Raw genomic sequence first — 22413 nt, 5'->3', positions numbered from 1 at the left:
TTATATTATTAATTACATGATTGGATATAATAATTCATGGGGTACACAGTGATATTTTCATACATGTATACAACATGCAATGATCAAATCAAGGTAATTAGCATATCCATCACCTCAAACGTTTATCATTTCTTTGCATTGTGAACATTCAAAAATCCTCTCTTGTAGCTGTTTGAAAATACAAAATCAATCATTGTGAACTTTAGTTACCCTACAGTGCTATGGAACACTGGAACTTATCCCTCCTATGTAGCTGTGATTTTGAATCCTTTATAAAATGAGAGTTAAAGAATATACTTCTTAGGGTTACTGTGGGGATAAAAGAAGATGGTTCATGTCCAGTGCTTAGAATAGTGCCCTGTACACAGCGCAAGCTTAACAACTGCTGTGTGTTATTAGGATGATGAACACAAGAGCAGAGATGACAGGCAGCATTGTCAGACGTGCACGAGGACAGGATGTTTTCTAGATGCTAAGTGAGACCAGTGTTTACCTCCAATTATTTACACTTTCAGTAGGTCCTGGCTTTGGAAAATACCATGCTCAGAACTGTAATATAGTAGTACTGTGTCTCAGTCTATGTATTGCGGCTTGCCTAACAAGTTAAGATGAATCTCATCATGGAATTTTCTCCTTAGAGCAACTTAGCTTGTCAAGGGCTGTTTCTTCCTCAAGGTTCCTCTGCTGAATCTCAGAGCAGAAGTTTGTTGTGGCATTGACTCTCTTCCTCTTCCTTCTTGCCTCTGACCTGCTGTATTATACCTTCAAATAGCAAAGACTCTCACTGAGGTAACACATATTGGCCCAATCTTCCTAAATGTTTTATATTTCAAAACTACCTCTCCCATCCCATTCTTCTCTATTAACTAATCTCAACTCAAATGAATAAGCCTGATGATGTACTACTAATTTCAGGTAAAATGATTGGTAGTGATGACTGATATATAAATAGTACTTCACAATTTAATAGGGGTCTTCCATGTATAGTATGCCATTTTGACTTCATAGCTATTCTGTGATATTTAGGTGGGTGTTATCATTCCTATTTTCAGATTAAGAAACCGGGCTCAAGTGAATTAGCTGGCTTGCTCTAGTCTACAAAACTGTTAAGGGACCTCAGTTAGGAACCCAAAGCTGCTTCTGTGGTCTGTGAAGCCAATCTCAATATGATGTTAGTGGCTTAATTTATAAGGTATGAATGACCAATAGCTTAAGCCTATCAATAAATATGCACATTTAAAGAGAGACCTGAAAAGGATCATAATTTTATAACTACAGAATGAAGACTGGGGTAGGAAGTACAAATTCCAACATCTCTGAGCAGAGAATCTTTCTGAGTTTTGTTGCCCGTTCCTGCTGACCCGCATGATCAGCCCTAGGCAGAGGTGTCCCAGAGTCTGTTGAAGCTAAAGCTGAGTCCACCCCTACCCCAGGGAATCTGGGATCCTTTCCTGTCACAAGCAAGGGTTGTATTCCATTTGTATCTTAAATTCATATACATTTTACATTCTATTCCATGTCTATATACATAGTTTTAAATAAAATAAAGTGAAACTTTTACCATATTAATCTTGGCACATGGTTGCAATTTCTCCATTTAAGAAAGTGCTAAGATAGCATGAAATCCATTTAAGGTCAGCCAAACAAATATTTATTCATTAAATCAAATGAAGAACATATGTCTGTGTGTGTGTGTGTGTGTATTGTGTGTTTGTATATATATGTGTATATGTGTATATATATACACATATATATACACATACACACACACATACATATATTTGCCAATACAGAATATAAAATGTAAACATGTATATATATATATATTTGTGTATGTATGGGGAAAAGTGAACACTAACCATCCAATTTCACAGTTTCAAAAAATGTGAATCTCTACACCAACCCTCTCTTAACCTCTACAGTTCAAATCCAAATCTCAAACTTTCTGATTTGAATTTGCTTATCCCTATGTAATTCTAACTTAAGACCTAAGACCAAAAGGGAATCCTCTTTGAAATGCTCCCTCTCACTCTGGGCACCATCCTGAAGGTTCCAACAGAAAGGGCAACACATCAGCTTATCATGGCAGCAATTCGCCAGTCCACAACAGAAAAAAGCCTTAGACAGGCTCCAAGCATTTCCTGCTTAATGCCTATTTTCTCTGCTCAGTTGTCATTTTTAAATAACGGTATTTTGTGAAAAACAAAACCACCCTGTACGTGGGAAACCATAAAGAAAGTTATTTGCTAGAAAGAACTGCCTTGCTAACAAAACGTATGTTGGCACGTTTAAAGACAGAGCTCCTGGGGCTGCCTTGAGTAAGTCTTGCTGAAAGTGTCTGCATGGCATTATACACAAGGCTTTCCCTTCTCCTCTGCCCCCACCCTGCAGCCTTGGAAATTTGCAGTTGCAATCTTTGACTGGACTCTATTGAGACTTTCCACCCCCGGCTGCTCAGGAAACACATACCAGCAAACAGAATGAAAGGGCCTTTTATAAGCACGAGTCCGTTATGTCTTAAACAGACTCCCACAGAAAGGCTTTTTTGTTTCTTACTCTTTAGGAAAAACTGAGCTCCTTCTGAAAAGTCTTTGGAGAGAGAGAAGAAACCGAAGACAGGGAGAAGGCTCAAGGGAGGAAGATAGGCTAGGGACAAAGGAGGGGCAATGGAAATTGTCAGAGAGGTTGAACTCTACTTTTCTAAGGTAAAAGCGACAGTGTTGGATAGCCTCTGGTAGGGGTAGGGGTCAGGGTGTGGTTGTCAGGGCTAAGAGGGGAGTTGGCTGCTACTACCCCTTGGAGTCTTCCCCCTCGCCAACTACCACCATCCCCAAAAGAGGGAGTCATCCATAGCAAAAAACACTGAGAGACTCTAGTGCTCTGGTCTCCAGAAAAGTTTCAGGAAACTAGATTTTTGCTAAGTAAACTTAATTTCTTGTCTTCTTCTTCTCCTTTTCCTTTTATCTAAAAAGCTACATTTTCTGTTTTACAAGATCCACAAGCAATTTCTTTCCCATGATAGCATCCTAGTTTCTCACAGAAAAAGTAGTTTCTCTCTCTTTTATAAGAAAGCATAATCTCCATTATTTCAGACATCCCCAAATCACAATAGTCTGAATTGTCAGAGTTTTAGCTGTCAGAAGATTACACAAACACGCATATACACACAGAAAGTGGAAGAAATGTAAAAGTCTTATTAGTTCATTCTTTATTAAACATTTAATAACCACTTATAATATAACAGAGTCCAGGTGGTATCATTTATGAAGAAAATGCTAAAGAAAATAGTGCAAAGGAACAAAATGATAGTTTCAGAGATTTGGGTGTATTAAGAAATGAAGAGAAAATGATGCTGTTTATTGCAAATCTGTATGGGTTTAATTAAAACAGAATCTCTGTGATACACTAAGTCAGCTGAAGTTAATGCTTATACATTTTTAATGAATTTTTTCATAATTTGAAAAATCCTTTTCAAGTTTAATTTATGAGGTCTCATGTTGCTTAAGTAGAGCAAAAACCCATTGGCATAAGAGCATCCACCTCTCAGCCTCTGAAGTAATGGCATTGATTTCTCCTGCTTTGTTGTCCTGGCCGCAGGTGTGAAAGCATTATGAAGTAAGCACTAGTTCAATATCCTGTGTGCACCCCATCCTCAGGGGCTTAATTACCTGCCTGTGTCCCAAGGAAGAAGAGAGTCCCTGTGGGCATGAAATAAAGCATTCTATGGTTTGGGCCTTCTTCCAACAATAAAAAGTTGTGCTTTAAAACATGCCTAACACAAAGCAGGTTTGGTAAGAATTGTGGAAATGTCAATTATTGGTTCCCAAACACTATTTTGTTTATATGTTCACTCCAGGGTCTCGAGTATTCTGCCTCTTCTGGAGTCCAGGCTTTAGAAGAGGTGACCTTCTTTCAGGGAATAGTAATAGCAGTTAACACTTCTTACATACCATAATGCAGGCCCTAAGTACTTTACTAGATTAATTCACTGAATTCTCACAACACTATGCGGTGCATACTATCTTATCTCCCATCTTACAGTTTTGGAACGGGAGGCACAGAGAAGTTAAGAAATGTACTTAGTCACATAGCTGGTAGGTGACAGAGCTGGGATTTCAACCCTCACAATCTGGTTCCCAAGTCTGTACCTTTTTTCACTATACAATACAGCCTTTTAGGACACTGAATATGAAAGGACCTCAGAGATGACCTCATCTTAATTCTCTAATTTTATAGGAGAAAGAATGAGATTCAATGAAATTAAGTGACTTATCCAGAGGAATATGATGAGTTCTTGGCAATGTTTGCAGCAGAACCAAAATCACTCTAATCCTAATGAAATGTGTAAACACCACACCCTTCACCCCACCCAAAGAACTCAGGTTCTCCTAAGCAGCCCAGCTCCCATGTTTCCATGGCCCCAACAGTTGCAATTTATTGGGGCTATGGAAATTCATGATGTCTTGGTTGAGAAAGATCAACATCTGTACTGGCAGTAACACAGGTAAAATTCATGGTGAAGGCATCTTCCACTGCCTACATAGAATGAAATGGAAAGAGGGAATAAGAACCATTCAAGGAACATTATTCTAAGAGCTCAAAATCTCCGATGCTCACCTAGACCTTTCCATTTATAAATTCTCTCCAAAGTCAGTCTTTCCAATTGTATCTCATAGTTTCATGGCATTCTGTTCCTATTGTTCAGAGTACTTCTGTATCATAATTTGTAATTATATTCTGCCTTCTGTATCCGTAAAGTCAACCAACCATAGATTGAAAATATTTGGAAAAAATGGATGGTTACGTCTGTACTGAATATGTACAGACTTTTTTCTTGTAATTATTTTCTAAAAATATAGTATAATAACTATTTACTTATATTGTATTAGGTATTATAATTATTATAATTATTATATTGTATTAGGTATTATAAATAATCTAGAGATGATTTAAAGTATAGGGGAGGGTTTGTATAAGTTACATGCAAATACCGTTGTCCCTTGATATCTTCAGGGGATTGGTTTCAGGACCCCTGTGGATACCAAAATCTGAGGATGCTCAAGTCTTGCAGTCAGTCCTGCGTTAGTTCCAGATATGGTCCTCAGTATCTGCAGGTTCTACATCCCACAAATACCATATTTTTGATCCAACATTGGTTGAATTCTCAGATGCAGAACCCTCAGATACAAAGGGCCAGCTCTACAATATCATTTTATACAGGGACTTGAGTATCCATGGATTTTGGTCTCCAAGGGGGTTCCTAGAATCAATCCCCAACAGATACAGAGGGACAACGGTTTATATCTAATTGTGTATGTGTTTAGTTCTGCTCCCCAGCTAGACAGTACACTCCATGACAGGGGCCATATCTATTTTTATTTGCCTATAAATACCTAGAATCTGGTACATAAACAGGTGTTTGGTTAAAATTTGTTAAATAAACTTATACCAAAGCCTCAGCAACAGAGTGTTAAAAGATGATCTCCGTTTTGCCTGATAAACATCTGTTGTTCAGTGCTCATTATCTTTATTCAGTTACTGGACCATATCCATTACTAGGGCGGAACATGTTCAAACAAACAAGTCTCAATCAGCCAAAGCTCAGCTGCCTTACAAATCTACCTTTCATTCAGGGTCCAGGAACCCACTAGCTGGGACTGGTTATGTTGTCAAACCGTAATCATCAAACTAAGGAAAAAGACCAGTCTAAAACATCAAAATTGGGGATACATGTATTACTTTTAAATTCTGAGGGTAACTCATAGTATGTGAGCTGGATTTGCTACAAAACACTTCTTCTGGGGACCTGCTTGAAAGGCTAGATAAAACAATTTTTGTTTGGCATGTGCAAAATTTATATGTAAAGAGCTATGTTTAAAGACTTTAAAGATGTTCAAAAACAAATTATTCTTTTAACATTTTAAGCACTATTCTTACAATCTTGTTTTCACATTATTGCATTAAACACTTCCATTATTATCCACAAAGAAAAGATTTTTTGAGTAATATTAAACACCACTCCAGTTACTTCTGAAATAAAGCAAAGTGTGAATTAATAGAGTTTAAATTAATGAAGACTTTCTCTAAGTTATAAAATTTAGAGTAAAATTATAAAATTTAGAGTAAAATCATTAAAAGTTTTCTAGGCCGGACGCGGTGGCTCATGCCTGTAATGCCAGCACTTTGGGAGGCTGAGGCGGGCAGATCATCTGATGTCAGGAGTTCGAGACCAGCCTGACCAACATGGAGAAACCCCATCTCTACTAAAAATACAAAATTAGCCTGGCGTGGTGGCACATGCCTGTAATCCCAGCTACTCAGGAAGGCTGAGGCAGGAGAATTGCTTGAACCTGGTAGGGGGAGGTTGCGGTGAGCTGAGATCGTACCACTGTACTCTAGCGTGGGCGACAAGAGCAAAACTCAGTCTCAAAACAAAACAAAACAAAATTTTCTAAATTCTATTTCCTTGATGATGATACACAAGAATTTCTCCAAAAACAGTAACACCTTGTTTATTTCAACCCTTTTACAATGAAGGCAGTAAGAAAACAGATGCAAGTTCGTAGTTTATTTTGTGCCTAAGTAATAAATCTGCTTTAGTTTCTATTCTGTAGCTGATCTCCAAGTATAAATTGTCTTATTTTTGTGTTATATAAGTTAGTTTATTTTTTTACTTATTTTCACAGCATTAATTATTGGAAAGAAGGCCTGCAAACACAAGGCAAGTATTCTCTCATGGAGGTCACACCATAGATGTACAACTGTTCTTTTATTTTTAGAAAATATCTTTGTGTAAGTTGGGATAATTTGAAAATGTGGATTCAACCCTTTGCCGTATTTTATCAAGACACAACTGCAAAATCTGCTTTTTTTTTTTCAAATGAAGGAGGTAAAAGTTGACTTTATTTTTTGGAAAAATGCTCTCAGCTGGGACTCATGTCTACATGAGGACAACCAGGAAGCAAAATTGGCCAGAAGCAGCTCTTTGCAGAGTGGAGACAGTGCAGCTCTTTACCACGGGCATGAAGACAGCGTGGTAACATGGTCAAAGCTTGTTAGGTCAGGTCACCACCTCCGCAGGTGTCTTTGACACTGTCTAATAAAAATGCTTTTGGGATGGCTTTCAGCCCACTGTTTTGCCCCTGTTGCTTCTGGTTTATTATCCTGTAGCTTTTGTCTTCACTTTTGAGGGATGTAGTGAGGCTTCTTTATCAGTTTTTTTTTTTTTTTTTGGTTTGTTTTTTGAGATGGAGTCTCTCTCTCTTGCCCAGACTAGAGTGCAGTGACACGATCTCGGCGCAGTGCAACCTCCACTTTCCAAGTTCAAGCAATTCTCCTGCCTCAGCCTCCCGAGTAGCTGGGACTACAGGCGCCCGCCACCATGCCCGGCTAATTTTTGTGTTTTTAGTAGAGACAGGATTTCAACGTGTTGGCCAGGCTGGTCTCAAACCCCTCAGGTGATCCGCCCACCTTGGCCTTCCAAGGTTCTGGGATTACAGGCGTGAGCCACCACACTCAGCCATTTATCAGTTTTTAATACAGTGTTTCTGATGCTTAATAAGAAAATGATCCAAAGTTCAGATTTTCCTTTGTGATTAAAATAATCATGACCTAATATCTCAAAGGAATGATTAAAAAAAAGTCTGATTTTTACTTTCAGGGAACAACACATCTCCCTTGATTAATCCTAAATACCTTTAATCAGAGGTAATTCAGTGTGTGCAAGATTTATGCTATTTGCTGGAAGTTAAGTGATTTAAAAAAAGACATGGTTTTAATAAACTCTGCACTAGGCTAAGGTTCCAACTCACTCCCTGGAGGATGCTACGTCTCACAGGAAGATTACAGAGGCGATTGCAGTATGAAGGCAACCAGCCATGTCGTTGCTGTCTGACAAATGGGATGCGATTTTCTTGTGCTTTACACTTGGGGCTCAGTAAGTACAGCTATGGAAAAATTGTTTCTTCCCTATCCCTCTTCGTGGCAGCGGCTGGGATTCACTGGGAAGTGTGCTGACTGGTGGATATTTTGACTCCAGAACATTTGGGGACTTTTCACTATGATGGAAGAAATTTCAGAAATGAGATATCATTTTGAAAGAGTAGCTTAGGATGTACTTACATGCCTAAGGGCTACCAAAAGTTTAGGGAAAGTCCATTAAATCGCGTTTTTCCTAACTCCTACATCCTCCCCTCTAGCCACAGTCATGCTTTCACCAGGCTCTGCCCACCAGTGCCCAAGCCAGCCCTGAACATGCCTGGCAGTGTAGATAAAATCAGATCTCCATCAATGGGTGAGGTCTGAAATAGATTTTGCTTCCTTAAGTCTCATAGCCAGGGACCTAGGAAACACCTGATCACCCAGATAATGCTACCTTCATCCCACTGTTTTGGCTGGCTCTTCTGCCAGGCCTCAATCTCCAGTGGCCAGACCTTCTTCTCTGAATTTTAATAAATGCTATTAGATGGGAGGCTGCTTCAAAGCTGGCAAATGGCCCTGGAACCCTCACACTATCCACTACCTGACATACCCTGTCCATCACACTGCACCCCTGGATACCTACACCAACCTGGGTATGGTCCACAGCAGCCTGGCACTGCTCCACCACACCGCAGGCAGGTAGGCCTCCCAGCACCTGGCTCTTCTTCTACTTCTGGCTTCCTCCCCCTCAATGGCCACTGTTGAAGCTGCGCCAGCTGCAAATCCGCTGTCCCAGGAGAGAAGTTTAATTGGATTAATTTCCATTTCTTTTTTTTTTTCAGGATTATTTTCGTGGAAAATTTTTAGCACTTTGAGATGTTATAACACTGGCATCCTAGAGACCGAAATATGAAATAACTTAGTACAAAATAGGTCCTCGTGGGAAGCCAATGTGCACGTTTTCCCACCATATTCTGCCAACGGTGCACTATTCTCAACTACTCCATTTATCTCTACGGGGCAAATAATGGATGTGTTCCAGCACCCACTCAATTTCTGTGTTTTCGTCTAGCTGAAATAATAATAGATGTAAAATATGGCTCTCTGTCTAAAATTAGCCTCTGGTTAGACACTATCAGCTACCACTCAACACAAGGAAATTTTACACAGAAATAAAATGATTACATAGGTAGAATGATGCATGATTTCATTTACTCAATCAATAATTCTTTATTCTTTTGGTGCCTACTCTATGTAGTATGTTGTACAGTAAGGGATAAAGAAACAAACAGGAATAGGCTCCTGTTCTCAAGGAGTTTATCTTTGAGGTTGACTTTTTTATTCTTTTATAGTTTTACTGTATAACTGTAATGCCTCCCGTCCTGAAAATGACAGTTATTACAGGTTTAACTCACAGCAAATATTGTTACCTGAAACCTACCACCACAGTCTCAGGAGAACCCACAAACCTGGATGTAGCATTCTGCAGTGTGTCTTTGTCTGGGAACAGAGTACAGCAGCTGTTTCCTAAGTTCTAAACACAGACCCATAATTCACATATGTAGGCAAAAGTGATTCAGGCTAAGTATGTGTTCCTTTCAAAGCACTAATTTAAAGAAATACCACTTTTTTTTCCAAATAGCATTTAGTCACAAAATATTTTAGAAAAATACCAATTTTCTGTTGTGGGGAAATCGTTTAAGGGCTGGGCTGAAATTCAGAGGAAGACTTTTGTTTCTTCTTTTAAATAAAAAGTCACTTTATAAAAGAGAACGGATGGCTTCTAACGTATCATATTTACCCATTTCCCCTCCCTAATTTTCCATTTACCCCAAATTCGATTTGTTTCCTTGCTGCCTCTTTAAGTCCCTCCCATATCCTCAGAGCAGCTTAGGTGTCTTTTGTGAATTCATTTATGCTCTTTGTTCCATTCATCCTATTTAGGGCAGTAACAGTTTACAAGAAGCAAAACACATTATAAGTTAGTCATAATTATTACACTGAAATGCATCCTCTCCCTCATAATGTAGCAGAGGTGTAATATGACAAAATAGAAGTTTCTCAATCCAAAGCTGCCATCCTTATCTATGAACCAGTAAACTGCCCTTCACAGAAGGCCTTGGCTTTTTACCTTTAAGGATGATGCCCTTATTCTAAGAAAAGAACAAAGAAGGTTAGTGGGAGTACAGGGAAGAGACAACTGAATTGATTCATACACTTAAGCTCTAAACGTGGCCAACATCTCTTAGTAGCTGAAGTGAAATGGTAAATACTTTGGGTTACATAGTTTTCTGATAAAGTAAAGGCAAAGCAAATGCCTAAGTAGAAAGAAATGACCCTGAACTTTTAAACTCAAGCAAGCAGTCATGGAGTGACAGGCTTTTTGGCCTTGCCTGATGACAGTGTACATGACAGAAAGGCATGATGGCAGGGCATGTATCATCTTTGTCCATTTCCCCCCAATTGAGACCCCAATCGTACCATCTTCAGGTTTCTTCCAAAGTTATGCGTAAGTGAGTGACTCTCGTCAGCATCAAAGACCAGTATTTGGTCTGTATTACATTTGAAAACACAAAAAAACATAAAGAACTCTTCAAATGAAATCTGATGAAGCTAATAGCCCATGAGGATCAGTTCAACAAGTTGCATCAGCAAAGACCTCTCTTTGTTACCGGATCTACCAGATCCAGGCCGCAAAGGAGCTCCCTTAGACTGCTTTAATTAGGTATTTCACTTACAAATGAATTAATTAATTAGAGATAAGCACCTGAAAGCACATTACTCATGTGGTCTAGTTAAAGCTTTAAATAGATACAAAACTGCCGACACCTCATTACTATTAGGTAATTCTACACGGGACTTAACACCCAAGATGATTTACCAAACCTCGTGCCAAAACAGCATTCATTCTAATCCCTCCCGCACCTTGGGAACCTTAGCACAAGGATCCTTCAAGAAGATTCAGGGAGAAAGGATTAGAGCAGGAGCTATGGTTACTGTGGCCTGTGTTTCTTCATCAGTTTTTCTTTCAGACATAATGAAATGGCCTGAGACGGCAGTCCTTTTCCATTCTACCTTGGTCTGGCTTGTCCGTTTTATGTTGCCTAATAACTCCATTCAATGGCACAGTCATTTCTGGCAGCCTCCAGCTAGAATCAGAGTGGTGGCAGACATACTCAAGAGCCAATATGGAATGACTCCATTCCCCCAAAAACAAGATGATTGCAATTTCAATATCTTCTGCAAAAGTAGATAAAAAGGCAAGCAAGCAAACAAAACACCTTGAACTTTATATTGGATACAGTGACTCCCAGTTTTAAGCACACATGGAAATTCTTACCTACAGATAAAATTTTAGTGATATTCTTCCCATTGTTTTTCATATATATGAAATGAAACATATGTATGAAAAAGGTATTTGGATATATGTAACTTTTATGCATACATTATATATGCAACATATGCATAAATTATATACATGCAACATTTTCATTGTTGGTGGTCAGTTTTAAGGGAGAATATAGAGTACTTTAATCCTAATAATAGAACTTGTAAATGTAACTTAAAGGATGTCACCTCCACTCCCACAGTAACTTCTAGTTTTACAGCAGTACTAAGAGCTCTGTGCTTATTCCTTTATCTAGAGCACAGCTTTTTGATCAGTTGCTCCTCCATACAACCTCTAGACCTCCTCTCTACATCTCTGCTTCTTCCCTGATCTCAAAGGTGATGACAATGGGGGAAAGGACCATTCATCCTGTACTGCCCTCTCATCCTATGATCCCATGGCACCTGTTCTTTCCGCTCTCCCCCATAAACTTATTTGTTTATTTTTAGAGACAGGGTCTCACTCTGTCACCCAGACTGGAGTGCAGTGATACGACCTTAACTCACTGTAACCTCTAACTCCCGGGCTCAAGCAAGCTTTCTGCCTCATCCTCCCAAGTAGTTGGGACTACAGGCACAAGCCACCACACTGGCTAATTTTCTTTTTTAAAAATTTTTGAGAAAGGAGGTCTTGCCATGTTTCCTGTGCTGGTCTCAAACTCCTGGCCCCAAGGGAGCTTACTGCCTCAGTTTCCCAAAGTGTTGGTATTACAGGCATGAGCCACCATACCCGGCCTACTTTTTAATGCTTCTATCATCCTCCAACTTATTAACTTTTAAAAAACATAAACATACATTACAGGTGAAAGAATAAAACAAGGAACACCCACTTACCAACCACCTAGAGTTAACAATGGTCACTTTTGCTTCCCCATCCCTCTGTCTCTCCTGCCATTTGAAACTAGGTAGCAGACATCACGAGACTTCATTCCTGAACACTTCACAGTATCATCCCTTTGAAAGCAGAAACATAAGCTTACAGGTTCAATTAATTAATTTCTAGCCGATTTAGTGAGCTTCAGCAGTTTTACTTAAACATTTGTTTTCATTTTTCTTGGGCTATCTTCCACCTCAAAGAAACAAAACACACACATACACACACACACCCCCACCCCCACCCCCAAAACCAAGCCAGTAGCTGAAATACACGTTGCAGCATAATATCTGATGTAAGGTTTTTATAAGGACTGCCCACACAATGTTGTTCACCTGTGTGGGGCCTTTGGCCTCATATTAGAATCACTGACATCTTAGAAGAAAGCATCCAGGCTGGTAACCTTGTAGGGAATAGCTCTCTCGAGAATGTCAGACTTGGTCAATTATGCAATTGTTTTGGGAATTTTACCCCTGGGCACTTCTGGTTTGTCTGAAGAAGCCCAGCAGTAATGAAAGTGGACAGGACTCCACCCACAGAGGAGTTTTGTCCTGGAGATGGTGTTAGGCATCTCTGGAAAGACCTCTGCTCAACCTTCACCAACCAGGGCAGCCGTAGCAACAGCAGGAAGTGACAGTCTCTTCCTCACCTAACTGGAATCAGTGAGGGTGTAACATTATCAGGACACATTCAGTATTTAGGCTGAGCCACTGGAATTAAGGGATTTTGGGGGTTGGGGTGTGGGGATAGAAGATGGGAGCAGCTCACAGTCCTGCCTAAGGTACAAGGGAATCTTAGTGCTCTCTTCCTTTTCTGGCCATTCTTACTATATCTCCCCCATTCTTTCTTCCCCATCTCCCAAGAATAATGAAAGCTAACATTTATATATGGCTGAGAGGCAGTGCAGCAAAGTGGTCAAGAGCTTGGGCTCTGGGCCACACTGCCCAAGTTTGAGTCTCAGTTCTGCCATTTACTCAATAGGTGATGCTGGGCAAGTTACTTAACCTGTGTGCCTCCATTTCCTCATCTTGAAAGTGGGGATGATAACACCACCACATATTTCCTGGGAGCTTGTGAAGAGTAAATAATATATGTAAAGTACCTAGAACAGTGCCTGACACTATTAGCTATACTTTTTTTCATTTACTAAGCAATTACTTTATATAAAGCCCTTTTCATGATTCAACTCCTTTAATCTAACAATAACAACAAAAAAAAAAAACATAAGAAAAGGCTATCAGGATGGGCATGGTGGCTCACGCCTGTAATCCCAGTGCTTTGGGAGGCCAAAGTAGGCAGATCACTGGAGGCTAGGAGTTTGGAGACCGGTCTGGGAAATATAGTGAGACCCTGTCTCTATAAATGTTTTTTTAAAAAATTAGCCAGGCTTGGTGGCATACACCTGTAGTCTTAGCTACCCAGGAGGCTGAGGTGGGAGGATTACATGAGCCCAAGAGTTAGAGGTTACAGTGAACTATGATAGCACCACTGTACCCCAGCTTGGGTAATAGAGCAAGACTCTGTCTCTTAAAAAAAAAAAAAAGCTATCATTATTCTCATTCCACAGATGAGGAAAATTAAGTTCAGATGAAGTTCACTAAATTTCCAAGATTTCCCAGTCAGTAAGTGGAGGGGCCACGATTTGAACTCAGGCAATGGGTCTCCAAGGTCACATCTTTGGCCATTCAGCTCTGTGGCTTCCCAAGTCAGGACACAAGAACTCCAAGTTACTGGTTAGGGACTATTTCATTCTCATAGGCCTTGATAACCATTCCCTTCCCTACCCCGTAACAGAATTTATTCATATTTTCCCACCCCAAGCACACACATACATACACATGTACATAGGGTATTTATAAGGCTTATTCCATTAAAGCATGGCACCAAGCCACTTTACACTTTGTTTTGCATTGCTGCACATGCCAAAGCCGACCAATGGTACTGACAAGCCCCTGCCCCAGCTTCCAGGGCCCTGACCACACTCCCCTCTCACCCGCCAAGTGCACCACTAGACAAATTCTGAGCTAGGAGCACAGTTCCCAACTGTACACCTCTTTGTTAAATAATGGCTCAAAACTGACGTGAGTAGCAGTGATGCATTTTGGAAGTTCAAAAACTAAAGACAAACGGGAGGAAAGTAGGTTGTTCTGGAAGCTCTGTCAGCTAATTCCATGTAGACAGGTGACCCATATTATGTCAATTAAGTGCTGTTCTAGAGGCATTCTGCCATGGGCTTTTTACATTGAACATTTTAGGGTAATGGGGAGACAGATTAAGGTTTGCTGAATGCACCAGGGCCTTTCCTTTGTAATTCAATTAACAGAACAAGACATGGACTTTTGTTGAAATCCTCCCAGGTGGATGAAAGGCAAAGTGGGGCACAGACTTTTAAGTCCATGAGGGTAAAAGTAGGCTCAGACAAGGCTGTTCAGCTTCTGGAGTGTGTGCCATGTGCAAAGATGGGGCACAGCAGTGTTTGCCCATGAAGCCCAGGTAGACAATGAGGAGCAAAAGGTACATGGCTAATAGAGTCTTGAGACCTCCTGCCCCAGCTGAGATCTCTCGCTTCCTGCCCAGTGGCTGTCACTTTCCCCCTTCCTTCCATCCTGGGCTTTTGAACACTTCCATATCCTGAATTCCTTTTCTCAAAATGCTTCCAGGAAAATGTATCGGTCCTTTATGATTTGGCTTCCAGCTCCTTCTTCAGCCTCATTTCTTGCTGTGACTCCCTCTGACCACATTGGCCTTTTTCAGTTCCTTAGCTAGCCCCCCTCTTTCCTGCCTCAGGGCCTTTGCACACATGCCATTTGTTCATTTGTTTTCTGCCTGTCATGACTCTACCAGCAACTCTCTTAATGACCTCAAATTCATCCTGCAGATCTCCGTTTTCCTGGCTTCCTGGAATACTGCTAATTTCTAGACATAAATACAGTTTCCAAATCTATATTTGTGATTATATTATTGTATATCTTCCCCACTAGACAGGAACCTCCATGTTGGTGCCTGTCTTGGTTCACAATTACATACATAGGGCTTATCATAGCTTCCGCCCCACGCTGGGTACTAAATATTTATTCATTGTTGAATGAATCCATGAATGAATGGATCAATTCCATTCTTTCAGAGTCCTGGTCTCTCAATGCATTTCTTTTCTCAGTTTGTATGCTGCTTAAAGGATCTTGAGTCTGAGGCATCAACCAAAGCAACAGTGGGATTTTCAGAAAGGAATGGTTGTAGGCTGTTGGGAAGAACTGCAAGAAGCCAGGTTTCCACAATCCATTTCTCTTCATTTCTGGCTTTAGTGCCTTCATCAATGCACAGACAGATGTCTGAAGATGTCAGAGTTTAGCTTATTAACAAATGAGCTACACAAACTTCCTCAGTATTCATACTCAAGGGGGAGAAGTCAAATTTGGGCCCTGGAGTTACATGCAGCTCTGAAGTGGGTGCCTCTGCCTACGAATCAGTCACTCACGGGGTCCTTTATGCAATCCCTGATGGTTGCTATGATCTTACAGCAGGCCCTTTATTTTCCTTTTTGGTCTTAAACTCCTCTGCCAAGTACAACACCATGCCTTCCTCAAAATCATAGTAAGGTATACCCAAGTCAAATGAGGCTGATTTTAGAAGGAAGAGGTTATTGGCACTTTTGTCACCATTGGAAAGAGTGTAATTAGGTACAACATTTTTAGCAGATAATTCAGCAATATCTGTTGAATTTTTAATGTTATACCCTTTCACTTGAAAATTCACCTTCTGAAGATTTGCCCTGAAGAATTCTCACACAGCACAAAAAGATCAAAAAGACTTATGCACAAACACGATTCATATTTTATTAAAAGCTGAAGGAAAAAGCTCAATTATCCAACAGTAGAGACTGGCTAGATAATTCTGGTAAAGTTATTCTATTTGCCAGAGTCACTCAATGGAATATTACGTAGCCAGAAAACAGAATGAATTCTATATACTGACATTGAAAGATATCCATAATATACTGTTAAGTGAAAACAATGAGATTCAGAATAGTGCAGTTCTTTATTTTATAATGATAGGTAAATATCTGTTAATAACTATGGTTATATAAGAAGTTTACATGAAAATTTTGATTTCTATATTGTACCCTAGTATTATTTATACTTTATAAGTGTATTTTACTTAAATATAACAATCAAATTTACATTATAAAAGCAAAGGTAAAAAATTGTCTTTAGGCTGGGTGCGGTGGCTCATGCCTTAAAATCCCAGCACTTTGGGAGGCTGAGATGGATAGACCACTGGGTCAGGAGTTCGAGGCCAGCCTGGCCAACATGGTGAAACCCCATCTCTACTAAAAAAAAAAAAAAAAAAAAAAATTAGCTGGGTGTGGTGGCGCACGCCTGTAATCCTAGCCACTAAGGAAGCTGAGGCAGGAGAATTGCTTGAACCCAGGAGGCGGAGGCTGCAGTGAGCCGAGATCGCGCCACTGCCCTCCAGCCTGGGTGACAGAGCGAGACACTCTCTTCTCTCTCTCTCTCTCTATATATATGGATAGATAGATAGATAGATAGATAGATAGATAGATCTTTAAAATATGACAGATCATTTTTATTAACTTGACCAAGAGTCTGTCCTTAGACATAGCACCAGACTTAAAAGAATGCAGCTCTCCATGGTTTCTAGAAAAACTAGGCATTTGGGCCTGTGGTAGCCAGCCTCCAAGATGACCTGCAATAAACCCTGCCCTGGTATTCACATCCTGTGTGACCAACAGAATAGTATAGAAATGATGATATGGTTCTTCTAAAATGACATTACAAAAGACTGTGGCTTCCGTCTTGGGCCCTCTTTCTTGGATCGCTTGCTCTGGGAAAAGCCAGGTCATGAGCAGTCTATGGAGAGGCCCCGACCAAGAGAAACTGAGGCCTCCTGCCTACAGCCATATGAATGAGCTTAGAACCAGATCCTCCAGGCCCACTTAAGCCTCAGATGACAGCTGCCCTGGCTAATACCTTAACTGCATCTTTGTGAGGGCGCCTGAGCCAGAACCATCCTGGATTCCAGATCCACAAAACTATTAGAAGATAGATGTTTGTTGTTTTAAGACATTAAGTTTGGGTTAATGTGTTAAGTAGCTATAGATAACTAATACAGGATCCAGTCAACTCTATAATTTTTAGTGCCTATTTCCCAACCTGCACATATTAACTTTATACTCTAAGCCTAGTCTCACATTGGTTCTGTCTTTATACCAACCTAAATCGGTAAAGACCAGCAACTAAAGTTAGTGTAGGGTATTCTGTTCTCTCCTCAGGAGGATACCACTAATGATGAGGAGAGGGGGACTGAATCCAAGGGACATCACCGGGATCATAGGATCCAGAAATCAAATTTGGTTATCAAACCTTCAAATGAAAATCCTTTGGTTTAAAAAAGACTTCTACCTTTTCTATCTGACCCAATCAAATTGTTACATTATTGAGACAGGCAGTGGTTCAAATTAAATGTCACAGAAGAACACCCTGACAATGAGAAAAGGAGAGAACACTGGGAAAAGCTGTCCATTGTTTCCTTGCTAAAGGCAATCTCTGATGAAAGAGGAATGGACTCCTTTTCAATACAGGTTTAGTTTTGCTGAACACCAAATGCAGAGAGGGAAATGAATTCTCACTGCAGAAATTCTTCTGCTATTACCGTTGTTATACTTCTACTTAAGACCCTTAATTTCAATGCTTTTGAATCCAGCCATAAATATCTGTTCAAATAGTTGTAGGATGATTTATTTTCTGTTTAAAATGGTTTGTACATGTATTTTTATATAACTAAAAAATGTCTGAATGAATCAGCACTTCACAAATCAATGACAGGTCAGAGGAGCATGGCCAGCATGTCTGGAAGGAACCAATTTCTCCCATAGCACCATCAATTCATTGCTAGCTCGGTCCAAGGAGACTTGGCAGTGGCTGTCAGCCTGAATAAAATCCAGGAGCCGTCATGCCTGTGCTGCCAGCGTGGCTTAGTGATAAAGTCACGGAGTCCCTGTAAAAGATTCTCCAGCGGCCGGGCACGGTGGCTCATGCCTGTAATCCCAGCACTTTGGGAGGCCAAGGCAGGCGGATCACGAGGTCAGGAGATCGAGACCATCCTGGCTAACACGGTGAAACCCCGTCTCTACTAAAAATACAAAAAATTAGCCGGGTGTGGTGGCGGGCACCTGTAGTCCCAGCTACTCGGGAGGCTGAGGCAGGAGAATGGCGTGAACTCTGGAGGCGGAGCTTGTAGTAAGCCGAGATTGCGCCACTGCACTCCAGCCTGGGCGAAAGAGCAAGACTCCGTCTCAAAAAAAAAAAAAAAAGAGATTCTCCAGCAGGCTGCATGCAAAATATATTCTACACACATATGTTCTATTTTCGTGATTATAGGGAGATGCCAGTGTGACAGATCAATTGCAAATTCATTTAAAAATACTGTACAATTAATAGCTTTCTCAACCAATGGATATTAAAAGTACATCTCTTATCCTATAATGTATTGAGATTTATAAAATGCTTTTAAAAAGAAATCTTTTCCAATTCAAAGTGTTGGGAATTATTGTTCTAGAGATGCCAATGCAAGGTTAAAAAATTCTTATTCTTCACTAAGATATAATGGCATTCTAATCCAGTTTTACCACTCTGTAAAAGTAAAAACTCAGTAAATTGATTAAACCAAATCATGCTTCAGGAATAAATTTACATTTACAGAATACTAATTTTAAACAAAAAAAGAGAATAGGCTCATTATATATCAGTAAGTATGGTACATAAAATGTATCACAATGTCTTCATTCCTAGTAGGTTTTTTAAAAAAACAAAGCTTAATATGAAATAGTTAAATAAAGAAGGAGGCAGGAGGAAAGGGGCAGGGCCCCTGAGGGTCAGGTGGTAGGAAAGGCAGAGAGTAAAAATTCTTGCCTCATTTGGGAAGCCCAGATTCTAGCAACTTCTGTGCAATAAAGTGATAGCAATAGTCCCCTGAGTTTATTAGCTGAGAAGGGTGAAGAAGGAAAATGCTATCTGTTTCAGTTCTCTGTTGTACCGAAGGGTACCCTGTGTATTAGTCTGTTCTCATGCTGCTAATAAAGACATACCCAAGACTGAGTAATTTATAAAGGAAATGACTCACAGTTCTGCACGGCTGGGGAGGCCTCAGGAAATTTACAATAACGGCATAAGTGGAAGCAAACACATCCTTCTTCACATGGCAGCAGCAAGGAAAAGTGCCGAGTAAAATTGGGGAAAGCCCCTTATAAAACCATCAGATCTTGTGAGAACTCACTAGCTATCATAACAACAGGATGGGGGAAACTTCCCCGATGATTCAATTATTTCCACCTGGTCCCTCCCACAACACGTGGGGATTATGGGAACTACAACTCAAGATGAGATTTGGGTGGGGACACAGCCAAACCATATCACCCTGCCAAAGAATATCCCCTCTGTTGCCATGGTTGACTTCTATGGCAAATTCAGCTTCTGCTCTTTTGGAACTTGTCTTGTCATTCAGACTGAAAGAGTAAAGGTAACTAAGGTGGATCTAAGGTGCCTAAATTTATTTTTATTTTTTCACTGTTAATCTAAAGGTATGGTCAGAAAAGCTCAGCCAAACCATGTAGTGAGGTATTTAGGATGAAAATTTTATTGCAATTTTAACACAGATGATCATTTTTATTTTCAAGATACTTATCTACTGTAGTTTTCGTTTATATGGTAAACAGAAAATATAAACCCCCTTAAAGATTGAAAACCACAGCTATCTCACAATAAAAACGTAAAACAAATATACTTCCACAAATAATTCTTTCAAATATTATTGAATCTTAAGTGTCTAGGAAGCAAGAATAGACTTTTCTCAAGATTGGAGCCACAGTGAAAGGTAAATAGTTATTTGGGACAAACTATTTCCAATCCCTGAGTGATGGGGTGATTCAGGAGCATGGATGCAGCGAGCCAACCAAGTCAGAAGTTGCAGAGAATATAAACTCCTCCATCTCCCACAATTCCTCACACTCACATAACAAGAAACTGACACTAAAAAATATTCAATACAATGGCAAAAGAAAAAATATTTTTAAGTGTAGATATATTTCCATTTACATTTATCTGTCAAGATCTGTCAGAACCTACATATCCAAACCGTAATGTCCTGTGTGTCCCCAGCTGACTGGGCAATCAGGCAGACGTAGCGACTGTTTGAAGATGTCTCATATATCAATGGGCACAAAGTGCTTTCCGAAGAATAATTTTTTAAAGAAATGAAGCTGATCGACAACTTGCTAAGACACAAATATGACACCGAAAACTCAACTTGAATCTCACAATGGGTGTGGACACAAACACCTTTAGTCTTGATGTTGCGCTTGTTTTTGGAGCATGAGTGAGTCAAAAAGCTTGAAGTTTGGTATTAAAATATTTTTAATCATTGCATCTAGTTTCCCTCTTTCTCAACACTAGAGTGAAAGGGGTATATATACAGAGCAGTTACATCAGTCTGTGAAGCCCAGGCCCCTGCACAGATCATGCTGCAGCTGCCTTAGCTGGGAGTGGGTGGGCCAGGGCAGTTCATCCCAACAACATCTCCGTATGGTGCTCTGAGTAACCCCAAGTGAATCCCTCTCTGTAAAGAATTCTAACACATCCTATGCAAGATGGTAAGGCACTTTTACTATTCTTTGCCCCTCCTTTCTCTCTCTTCCTAGGTTCTGAGGCAGAGGCTAAAATTCATTTCCCAGGCTCCCTTGCAGCTACGGTACAGGTACACACTCAGGCTCCTGCCAGACCCTGAACTGGAAGCTGGTAATGTGGAGAATCAGTGATGGTACATGTGGGTGTGATGGCAGCTACTCTGGGCTTTCAGAGACAGCTGTGGCAGCAATTCCAGTGGCAGTTTTTGAGCACCCAGGGTCAGGTGTCGGCTGTGTGAGCTGTGGTGTTTGCATCCAATAGAGGCAGGCGAGGTACCTTCTTAGGATCAGCTCTGTGGTGTGATTTGAGTGTTATTCTGTCTACCCATCCTGCATGTCTGAAGATTCTCTAGCTCTCCTGAGATTCTCTGAGCATTGCATGCCTTTTGAGAAATTCCTTCTATGGTAAAGTTCACCAAAGCTGCTGACTACTGCTTTTATAAGAATGCCCATGGTGGATACAGCTTGGGAACAGAACAAAATTCTCTGAGGTTGGAGTCCTTGTTATTTGCAGCAAAGGTTATTTGATTAGGATTTGGGTCACAGCTACCCTGTCACTGTCTGAGTTCTTCCCAAACCATAGAGTTGGTGGTGGTTTTCATTTTCTGACCTTGCAGGGACACAAGGGAAAATATTGAGTACATCTGTGAAAGTCCCTGCCATCTTCTAAGGATTTATCGTGCAGGTCTATGCTACTCAAATAATGATATTCTTCTTGATCTTAGAGGAAAAAAAGAGAATTGAAAAACTCCAGAAAAGACTGGAAATCGTAGAGGTCTGGAACTGTGTGTGTTCACTGCCATAGGGAAAGTATTTTTTTAAAATAATACAATAACCCAAAAACAGATTTCTTTCTGCCTTGCCCAAGATTTTGAACATCACCAATAATATTTGAGCAGCTGTGAGCACATAAGTCCACGCCCTTGCTCAAACCACATATTAAATATAATCAATTCTTGTTATTCATGGTAGTTATGTTCTATAAATTGCCAAAAACACAGAGCATTGCATCTAGCAAAAATATGGGGTTAGGTTGCTTGGAGCCTCTGTTAAACATTTTGGTCAACCAATCAACATATAACCTTGTTTTCTGTGTGCTTCTGTTTAAAAGACATCTTATTTAATATCTATTGTTGATTCATTAACATTAAACTGGAGGTAAATATAATCACTTGAAATGATTACATATGAAATATATCATTTCAAATATAAAGCATTATATTTCACTGAACTATTGGGTATGTAAATTGCTTGTAGTTTTTACTATTATAAATAGCTCTACTGTAAACAATTTTAAAGAAAGTTTTCATTTTCTTTACCATCATTTCCTGAGGATAAATACCCCAAACAGGTTGAAGAAAGTAAGTATCCCTGATTGCTTATAATAAACTAAGTAGGTCCTTTCAGAAAGTGATGACTAGCTTTCCTGTTTCCACAATAGTTCTCCTGCATTGAATTTTTCTTTCTCCTGCATTGGATTTTATTTTATTTTTCCTTCTTTTTGAGATGAGGTCTCCCTCTGTTACCCAGGTTG

General features: G+C 40.0%; 1 protein-coding gene and 1 long non-coding RNA gene across 16 annotated transcripts in view; one reads left to right on the top strand and one right to left on the bottom strand.

Annotated features, from left to right (window-relative positions):
• GNG2 (G protein subunit gamma 2) overlaps positions 1–22413 on the bottom strand; it is a 143622-nt gene that overhangs the window by 44526 nt on the left and 76683 nt on the right. For 2 of the 15 annotated variants that reach the window (XM_047431488.1, XM_047431487.1), the window contains exon 4: positions 12142–12261. The exons of the other annotated variants lie outside the window; for them this stretch is intronic. The gene's annotated coding sequence lies outside the window, so the exon portion shown is untranslated. The remainder of the gene's footprint in view (positions 1–12141; positions 12262–22413) is intronic. 15 annotated transcript variants of the gene reach the window in all.
• LOC102723604 (uncharacterized) lies at positions 6699–9125 on the top strand. The gene is made up of 3 exons (NR_126331.1): positions 6699–6721; positions 7794–7936; positions 8763–9125. It is a non-coding gene; the product is annotated as an uncharacterized LOC102723604 (long non-coding RNA).

Source organism: Homo sapiens, chromosome 14 (genome assembly GCF_000001405.40).
Source record: "Homo sapiens chromosome 14, GRCh38.p14 Primary Assembly".
Lineage (NCBI taxonomy): Eukaryota > Metazoa > Chordata > Mammalia > Primates > Hominidae > Homo > Homo sapiens.
Note: the sequence above shows the minus strand (reverse complement) of the source record. Positions and strands in the feature narration are given on the sequence as shown.